At 54.4% G+C, this 9,523-nt stretch overlaps 1 protein-coding gene across 35 annotated transcripts in view, besides 1 other annotated feature; it reads right to left on the bottom strand.

Annotated features, from left to right (window-relative positions):
* Window positions 3,091–9,523, bottom strand: part of PTPRF (protein tyrosine phosphatase receptor type F) — a 101,616-nt gene continuing 95,183 nt past the window's right edge. For all 35 annotated transcript variants that reach the window (XM_011541873.3, XM_011541871.4, XM_011541872.4 and 32 more), the window contains 11 exons: window positions 9,189–9,312; window positions 8,846–9,021; window positions 8,008–8,127; window positions 7,555–7,709; window positions 7,184–7,469; window positions 6,899–7,077; window positions 6,536–6,662; window positions 6,178–6,303; window positions 5,765–5,919; window positions 5,525–5,660; window positions 3,091–4,822 (listed from right to left, as the gene is read on the bottom strand). In XM_011541873.3, the coding sequence (XP_011540175.1) occupies window positions 4,754–4,822; window positions 5,525–5,660; window positions 5,765–5,919; window positions 6,178–6,303; window positions 6,536–6,662; window positions 6,899–7,077; window positions 7,184–7,469; window positions 7,555–7,709; window positions 8,008–8,127; window positions 8,846–9,021; window positions 9,189–9,312 (1,653 nt within the window). In that variant the 3' untranslated portion in view covers window positions 3,091–4,753. The remainder of the gene's footprint in view (window positions 4,823–5,524; window positions 5,661–5,764; window positions 5,920–6,177; window positions 6,304–6,535; window positions 6,663–6,898; window positions 7,078–7,183; window positions 7,470–7,554; window positions 7,710–8,007; window positions 8,128–8,845; window positions 9,022–9,188; window positions 9,313–9,523) is intronic.
* Window positions 6,064–6,238: a silencer, noted in NCBI's record as "fragment chr1:44086190-44086364 (GRCh37/hg19 assembly coordinates)". NCBI's record gives its function as "represses an EF-1alpha promoter that drives an FKBP-Casp9 reporter gene in an ReSE screen in phorbol 12-myristate 13-acetate-treated (for megakaryocytic differentiation) K562 erythroleukemia cells {active_cell/tissue: K562(+PMA)}" and the evidence as "EXISTENCE:reporter gene assay evidence [ECO:0000049][PMID:32094911]".

Genomic DNA, 9,523 nt, shown 5'->3' with positions numbered 1-9,523 from the left:
TTTTTGTATTTTTTAGTAGAGATGAGGTTTCACCCTGTTGTCCAGGCTGGTCTCGAACTCCTGGCCTCAGGTGATCCACCCACCTTGGCCTCCCACAGTATTGGGATTACAGGCGTGAGCCACCGTGCCCGGCCTTGGTCCTTCTTATTGTACTCCCCACTAATTAGGCTTACAACCTTTTAACAAACTATAAATACATTTATTTATAATGTATGAATGCCACAAAGGTAAAGTCTGTTCCATTCACTGATGTATTCCAAGCACCTAGGATAATGACTATCACACAGCAAATGCTCATTAAATATTTGTTGAAGGAGTGGATTAGGTCAAATTTTCTTATCAACACAATGGGCTTCATACATTGTTGTGAGAATTAAGTGAAATACTATATTCCAAATAACTTGCATAGCAGTCATCTAGCCTCATTTAGGATAGTTAAGGATGGCTTCTGAAGGAAATATTTTCAGGGGAGGGCTAAACAATGAGGGGTTAGCCAGGTGGAAGTGGGGGAGAATGTTCCAGAAGAACAGCTTGTAGGAAGATCTGGAGCTGAGATAGAATGGTGAGGCAGGGCCGGGCGCAGTGGCTCATGCCTGTAATCCCAGCACTTTGGGAGGCTGAGGCGGGAGGATCACCCGAGGTCAGGATTTCAAGACCTGCCTGGCCAACATGGTGAAACCCCATCTCTACTAAAAATACAAAAATTAGCCGGGTGTGGTGGCCCATGCCTGTAATCCCAGCTACTTGGGAGACTGAGGCAGAATTGCTTGAACCCAGGAGGCAGAGGTTGCAATGAGCTGAGATCGCCACTACTGCACTCCAGACTGGGTGACAGAGTGAAACTCTGTCTCAAAAACAAAAAACAAAAAAAAACAGGCAAGAAACTTAAAGAATTGATTCTGTGGTGGCTGGAGGGCAGGGGGCAAGAGGGGAGAAGGAAGATAAGGCCACACAGGCCAGGTCCTGCAGAGCCTGGAAAACCATGGGGACAGTGAGGACCTGGCAGGGTCTCCTCAGGACAGTGACTTGGTCATGTCTGCCCTGCGAGGCAGAATCACTCCCACTGTGCTGAGAACGGTTTGGCCCAGGCAGTGCTGGGGCAGACTGCCTGGTAGGAAGCACAGCGGCAGTGCAGGCGAGAGGGAAAGCGGCTTGGGAGACAGCCGTGGAGATGCAGACAACAGGCGTGGAGGCCAAGCAGGCAGGGTGTGACGATGAATGGAGGTGGGGGTGAGCATGCAAGCGATGCCTGCCTGGAATACCAGGTAGGTGGGGTGCCAAGCACTGCAATGGGGGCCCTGGAGGAGGAGCAGGCTTGCAGGGGGGAGTGAGGAGGGAGGGAAGTAGAGGAGAGAGAAGGCTGACACTGGCAATGAAAAGGGCAGGGACTCTGGAGCAGACATCAGCAGATGTGGGTCCCAGCTCTGGCGCTTACCTGCCCTGTGGTCTCTGATGAGTGATTCCACATAAGCCTGTTTCCTCATCTGAGTGCGGAGAGGAGGATCCTTCTGCCGGCTGCTCGCAAGGACTGGTGAGCAGGCCCATCACGCCCTCAGCGCAGAGCCTGCCTGGGGCAGTCCTGACTACCGGTCTTCCTCAAGTGAACACCTGGTACTTACCCCTTACTTGAAAATGTTTAATGGCTTGTTCTTTTATTTAGCAAAAGTTAATCAAATTTTCTAACATCAACAGTCATGTAATGATGGTGCCTTTTTTCTGAATAGAAATATGCCAGGCACCGACCTAGGTGCTAGGGATACCCAGAAGAGACTTGGTGCCAGGCCTCAGTCACTCACAGCCCCCAAGGAGATGGCTGCCAATACTAGAACGCGGTGAAGGACTCAATGGAGGTGGCCCAGGGTGTTAAGAACAGAAGCACTGCACCTGCCAGGGATCCCTGCATCCCTCTGACAATCACCTCAATCCCCTTAGCTGCAAGATCTGACTCCATCCGGCCCACCTTCCTAGCCACGCCTCTCTACTCCAATCTTAATGCACCTCCTGGAGTTTCTCACGAAGTTGGTCTGTGACAAGCTTCCAAGCCTTTGTACATGTTCCATTGGAAAACCTTTCCCTACCTTTAAAAACTAACTGCTACTTTGGCTGGGCATGGCGGCTCATGCTTGTAATTCCAGCACTTTGGGAGACTGAGGTGGGTGGATCACCTGAGATCAGGAGTTCAAGACCAGCCTGGCCAACATGGTGAAACCCCGTCTCTACTAAAAATACAAAAATTACCTGGGCGTGGTGTCGGGCACCTGTAGTTCCAGCTACTCAGGAGGGTAAAGGCAGAAGAATTGCTTGAACCCGGGGGGCAGAGGTTGCAGTGAGCCGAGATCACGCCACTGCACTCCAGCCTTGCGACAGAGTGGGACTCCATCTCAAAAATAAACAAAAAAAAACTAACTGCTACTCATTCTACGAAACACTCTGAATGCCACCTCCTCCAGGAAGCCTTCCCTGGGTCAGATGCTGCCTTGGTGTGGTTGTTGCTGACTTACGCATTTCTCTTCGCAGCTTGTTCTGGGTCTCCTTCATCTGTATCCCTAGAAGTTCCACAATTTGACAACCTGGTAGGACTTGTCTGCTCACCAGTGGAGCAGCTGCACAGCTCAGTGGGTGATGCAGCTGTGTGTCCAGGGGCCAGATGGACACACTGTTTTTTGTGTCCATTATCCACATTGCAATAATTACAGGAGATCTCACTAACCAATTTCCATACATTCAGTCTCTACTGCCACAGGGCCATCCCTCTCCTCCAAGGTAGTGGGAGAGGGGCAGTCCCAATGCCCCGATAGTGCAACCCACAGAATCTTAAAGGGAAAGAGAGGCAAAGGGTATGCTCCCCGGCCTAGGGTGCTCTTCACATGCACTGGTGGCTCTGGCCTGGCTGGCTCTTGGTGGCCTGGTTTTCAGGGTTTATAACCACTCCTTTCTGAAAGTGGGTAGCCATGCCAGGAGCCTACACTGGCACAAATACTTAGGGTACCCTCCCCGTCTCCTCAGGAGCAGGGAATCTCCAGAACCCATCCTAGCTACTGATTTGGCCCAGACTCTTTGGTTCCAGAAACAGCTGAGACAGAGTCCTGGTTTGTAAGAAATCTGATTATTCAAATTTATTACCATCAAGAATTATGCAATGATGCTGTAGTTTTTCTTAACAAATAGAAAACAGACTGTGTACAACAGTGAACTCTACAGCACTAGCATCCACAAGGTAAAAATGAATGTTTCATCATCCAACATTACCAACCCTGGAATGTTGATCTTGACTTAGCCTAGCTAGGTTTGGGGACGTCGGCACCACGTCCCTCAGCTAAAACAGCTATGCACCCTTCCCCGCCCCCACTTACCTATCTAGATAGCGCTGCCCAGAGGAAGAGGCGCTCTCCCTGCCCCTCAGCAAGCTGGGATAATAAGGACTGATTAGAGTACCATTGATAGAAGTCCAGTAGTCTTGCCACATTGGTTTATGAGGGCATCTTGGAGTGGAAAAGAGCGATTATCGGGGGCTTTGAAAACAGCTGCAAACCAGGGAGGAAAATCATCTGGCCCCTGCTCTGAGGACAGACATGTGCTACCAGGCCCACTGGCCTGGACCTGAAAGGCCAGCCACGCCCCCGCTTGGCCCTGAGGTGCATGGGGTGTGGCACACACCCTAACCTGTGCTATTCACCTTGGCCACACAGCCAGACCCCACAGCCTACAAACACCACACCATACTGCAATGCTGGGGACCAAAGCCAGGCTCTGTGGGCCCAGGTCAGCCAGCAGCTCCCTCGGGAACCCCAGGCACACGGAGTTGCTTCCCCTCTTGAGGGTTTGAAGCAGAAGCCAAGGGCTGACTCTTTTTTTTTTTCTTGGGTTTTTTGTTTTTTTTGTTTTTTATTTTTGTGGTTTTTTGTTTTTGTTTTAACCTTTGCAAACACGATGGTGATGAGGAATGCCTTGCCAGGCTCTCCCAGACACATCTGTGGTTCTGGGCTGTGAATGTTAAACACACACTGGGATAGACGACCAGGGATGAGTGTTCCCTATCTTCTCCCCGCCCACCACTGTCAATGTGGCCTAAAAAAAGGCTTTAAAGGGAAAACAAAACTTAAAAAAACATTGAGTTTCCCTGCATTTAGCTGAAACAGGATCTCGTCTGAAGGGCTGGAGGAGCAGCCGGATCAGCACTGCCTCCCGGCCCACGGCCGAGCCTCCGCTCAGGCTGGCAGCCCCAGCTCTGCACGAGGAAGGCAATGTTCTGTCCTTCAGCAGAAGTCATACAAAATAAGGATCCAAAGTGAACTCAAGAAAAAAAAAAACAAAACAAAATAAACCCCAACCCCTACAGTGGCCCATTCTGCAGATACGGATTCGCGAAAGGAAAAATCAGAGGGAAGAGGCTAAAATCCCTCAGTCTACCCCACTTAATGTATTAAAAAGGAGGCTTTGCCCCAACCCCACCCCATGAGAAGAAGCATGAGAAATGCGGGAGCGCAACAGAGAGCTTGAAGCGGGCTCCAGGTGGGTCTGGTGGACAGAAGGGCCACAGTGCCTGCCTGCTGGGCCATCCACTTGCCCAGGGATGTTCTAGGCTCTCTGATTGGTGTGGCAACGTTCCTGAAACGCTGTGATCCCCGTGGGCTGTGCTCTGCCAGTGACAGCATCTGCGTAGGAGGGCTGGACGATGGTCGGTATGGCTCAGAGGAGCTGGGTCCCCTCCGGAGCCCCACGGCGGGGGTGGCGGAGGAGAGGGGAGCGGTAGTTACGTTGCATAGTGGTCAAAGCTGCCGAGGTACTCCAGGGCCGCACGGTAGCACAGCTGATACTGGTCCTGCCAGGATAGGGGGCTGGTCAGTGTGGGTCGCGCCAGTGGACACCCCCACTACACAGCTGACACTCACACTGCAGCCATGGAGTTAGCCTCTGCTGGCCAAGAGCAGGTGCTGGACCCTGGCAGCTACATCAGGCAGTGTGCGGGGGAGCCTGAAAGAGCCTCTGAAGGCTCATCTCTCTCCTGTCATTCTCTCAGGCCCCCACATCTACCTGCCTTCCATCTGCCATCCCAATCATGTTTCTCTGCTCCTGACTGGGCACCCCATAAGGATTGCTCTGTGCAACCTTGCCCAGAGCCAGGCACACCACTGGGGCTCAGCAGAGAGCTGCCGAATGAAAGAACACATCTTACTCATCAATCCCCTGAGCCCCCAGGCAGCACAGGCAATGTTGCAGCATTTTTGTTTTGTTTTGTTTTGTTTTCAGCAACAGGGTCTTGCTCTGCCACCCAGGCTGGAGTGCCGTGGTATAATCATAGCTCACTGCAGCCTCGAACTTCTGACCTCAAGTGATTCTCCCACATCAACCTCCCAAGTAGGTAGGACCATAAGCACACACCACCATGCCTATCGCAGGCCACGTGAAAGGTTGGCAGCATGAATGAATGCACATGCCTGTGGGCATCAAACTGTTGCTAAAGCCTAGGGTTCCCAGCAGCGCTGCTGCCAAGGCCCTGGCCCTGCAGCCTGGTCTGCGTTACCTCTGTCTGCACCATGGCAGGACGCTGTGTACGCAGGGTCTTCACGGTCTGAAACATGTCGACCACGCCCTCGTAGCGCATGCGCTCCAGGACGATGCTCAGAGTGATGAACACCCCGGTGCGGCCCACGCCAGCACTGCTCAGAAACACAGTTGGGTCAGGAGTCCTGCTTGCCTCATGCAGTGGGTCTGCCAGGCCTTCAGGCCCACCCACCCCAGCCCTCCAGGGGGCCAGTCCCACCTGCAGTGCACCGTGATAGGCCCATCCTGTCCAAACTGCTCCTTGGTCTTATGCACCTGCCCGATGAAGTCAATGAATCCCTCGCCTGTCTTGGGCACGCCCTGCTCTGGCCAGTCTGTGAACTGGAACTGCCGGATTGTCCTTGACTGCCCATCCTGGGAAAGGTGGGTGGGGTACATGATTAGAATTCGTGCCTTAGGCAGCCACCCCTCTGGACTAGACCAGGGTAGTACCATGATACAGGCATGCATCTGTGTCACTGCACCCGAGGCCACAGGGGGAGATGTGCTCACACCCTAATACCCACCCACCGCCTCAGATTTCTGAAGCTTGAGCTAAGGTACCATGCAGGCAGCCATCCACCCAGCGTGTGGACAGGCAGCGTTATGGACACACTCAATGCACTCACTCACCCGGGCATCCGTGACCTTGAACTCACGCAGGATATACTGGGGCATGTTGTACTCAGCCATCGGGTCAACAACAAAGTACTGGTAGCGAGCAGAGCGCTCTGCTGGCCAGTACTGGTGGCATTTCTCCTGTGGACAGAGGGTCGGGCCCCCATAATCAGGTGAGAAGGAATAGGGGAGGGGTGCCAGGCTTCACAGGATTCTGGGACAGATGCCTCAGGTAGTAATAACGGGCGCCTGAGGCCATGCTGACAAGCAGCTGGGGTGTCAAAGGAGACAGTAACATAGGCGGCAGCTCCCCCAAGGGTGGCTGGTGTTCTCCCAGGTATGACAGGGGCCCTGGGGGAAAGGGTGGGCTCACCCTGCCCATCTCCCGAAGCTTGGTCAGCATGACGATGATGGTGGAATTGTGCTCCCATAGCATGCGCCAGAAGTCCTCGGTGCTCTCTGCCAGAGGCCCCTGTGTAGCTATGTAGGCCTTCTGCTGTCTGGGGTGGACATAAGACTGGACATGCTGGAGGTGCTGCTGCCCCTAGAGTCTCCCCTTAGGCTGCCTAGCCCCTTGGGGCCCTGCTCAGATCACCCCTCCTCCAGGAAGTCCTCACTGCTCTACCCAGCCCTCTCTGGTCTTCTAGGCTGGCCCTACTCTGCTGCCCACCCCCACCAGCCAGGCACAGGCCTAGGCCCCTGTAGGGCATGGTGGGGCAGTGACATGCATGCTGACCTATAACCATCCAGGAAGCTGGCATTGATGTAGTCAGAGCCCTCCACACCACGGATGGGCTGCAGACACACACGGGTCAATTCGTAGGGCATGATGTTCACCAGCCGGTTCTTGAACTTGTTGCAGGGCAGGTTGGCGCTGATGAAGCGGGACGTGTGGGCCTTGGAGCTGGCCAGCAACTATTGAGAGGCAGGGATTGGTCAGGCCAGGCTTCCTGTGGGGGTGGGGGTCATCTGCATGACCCAGTCTAGGCCCTGGAGCCAAGCAGGCCCACCCGAGCCCCACCTTGAACTCGAGCTCCATGGCGGTCACACTCTCCCCTGGAGGCACTTGGCCCAGCTTCTGGATGTGGGCATACAGGTTGCGGGCAGGCACCTCTGTGTGGCCGCACGTGGCAGCCTCCAGCAGCGCCTCATGGATGAACACGTACTGGTCCTCCGTCTGCACCATGTAGTTCCTCTGTGATCGCATGCAGGTCACGTGGCCATAGATGTCCACCGTCTTCTCGTGCTTCATCCGCTCCAACATGGCATCAATCACGATGAAGCAGCCGGTGCGGCCCACGCCCGCGCTGCAGGACACGGGCTCAGCTTGAGGCACAGGCGCCCCCACCTCCCACCCCACCCACCCCTCTGGGTGGCACTGTACCCTCTCACCTGCAGTGCACCACCATGGGCCCTGCGTCTAGGGGGTTGCAGGCCTTGACCCGTCGTAGGAAGGCCAGGATGGGAGTTGGGTACTCAGGAACTCCATGGTCTGGCCAGGCCATGAACTGAAACTGACGCAGCTCGCGCTTCTCACTGGAGCCACTCTGGGGGACAAAGTGGGGACATACTGGCGACTAGGAGCCTACCTGCCATAGACTCAGGACTGAATGACCTGATGCTGAGGCCATACCCGCCACTTCCCCATGGGACTCAGAAGCCACACAGAGTAGCCTGAAGCTCCTAGCACTGTTCCCATAACATGGATCATCACATCACTCACACACCTGAGCCTCCGACCCTCCAACACCCAGGCTCCAGCTTCCCCCCGACCCAGCACACCACACCCAGGCCACTGTCCTTACAGTGTCTGGGTAAGAGATATGCACTGGGGAAAGGCTATACCTTGTGGAGTGCGAAGGTGCGCACAGTGTATGTGGCCAGCTCCACTGTGTCCAACAGGGTCACCTGAATAAGGCCACAGGTCTCGGTGCCACGGGCTGGCCAGTACTGATCACATTTTACCTGCAGGAGGATGAGCAGGGCAGGCTGAAGGAAGCCCACAGGCTCAGACGGGCAGAAGCAGGGTGGAGGCTGGTCAACTCCCTGGCTGTAGCCTTTCTGGCTACAAAGCCCCCCAGCCCTGAGCTCTCAGATCCATTGCCCCCTGTCCTCCACAAGCCACATCAGGTCCTCAAGCTATGTCACCGCCCTGCCCTAGCTAGTGGAATAAGGGTCATAATTGAAAATTATTTATTCAACGCCAGATCGCACCAGGCACATTTTCTGCCAAATTTACCCATAACGTTTATGTGCCATTTTCAAGCTCTGTAAATTTTACGTTCCAGTCAATGCTTTGCAGTCCAAAAACAGATAACAGCAGCTCTTTCCACTAATTAACTTAGGAGATGTGTTAATGCCCCAGGAACACTCCAGCATCTGGGGAACACATGAATACCCCGGGAACACGCCAGCAACTGGGGAACACATTAACATTCTCCGAAAATGACAGCATTTGGTGAAACATATTAACATCTTAAGGAACCCACTAGCATGTGGGGAACATGCTGTATCCCAGAAACACCCAGTATTTGGGGAGCATAATACCCCCAGTAACAATAGCATCTGGGGATCACTTGAGCGACTTCCTCCACAGAAGAAAGCGGCACAGAAGAAGGTGCCCTGTATCACCTTGTGGCTGGGCATTTCCCACCCGCCTCCTGGCAGGGCCCTGCAGCCTCACCCGGGACTTCTCCTCCAGCCGTGTCATCATGACCACAGTGGCCGTGCGCTGTTCCCACACCATCCTCCAGAAATCACCCATGGTCTCGGGCAGGGGGCCCTGCGTGGCGATGTAGGCATTCTGCTTGCGGTAGCCATCGATGTAGTTGGCATTGATGTAGTCACTCCCGGGGACGCCTATGGATAAGAAAGGAGGTGGGAGGGCATTACTACAGGGTCCCCAGCCCAGCCCACCATGCCTCAGTGCACCCCTGAGACTCGTGGACATCCTCTGTAGAATGACATGTTGCCCTAGCTAGCAAGGGGGAGAGCAAGGGGATGGGAGGGGCACCCCCTTGGCTCACCATCGATAGAGGTAAGGATGACTCGAGAGTGGTCGTAGGCGATGACATTCGCATAGCGGTTCTTGGGCTTGTTCACCTCCAGGTTTGAATTCTCCCACGTGAACTGCTGTCCAGGGTCGATGGACTGCAGAGAATGGAGAAAGCGGGTGGGGTGGGGTAAGAGCCAAGGTTGACCTGCTTCTCCTGCAGGGGACCCAGCCTTCCCGGTGATGCTCACATCCTGCCTTCACTCCACAGGCCACAGCCAGGCCCTCTATCTCGTGGTGCCAGCCATGGAGCTCACAGGTTGCCACATCACCTATCAGAAAAGTGATGGACTGGGGACTCCTCTGACC

Source organism: Homo sapiens, chromosome 1, assembly GCF_000001405.40.
Source record: "Homo sapiens chromosome 1, GRCh38.p14 Primary Assembly".
NCBI lineage: Eukaryota > Metazoa > Chordata > Mammalia > Primates > Hominidae > Homo > Homo sapiens.
The sequence above is the reverse complement of the archived record's forward strand: the minus strand, read 5'-3'. Positions and strand labels throughout refer to the sequence as shown.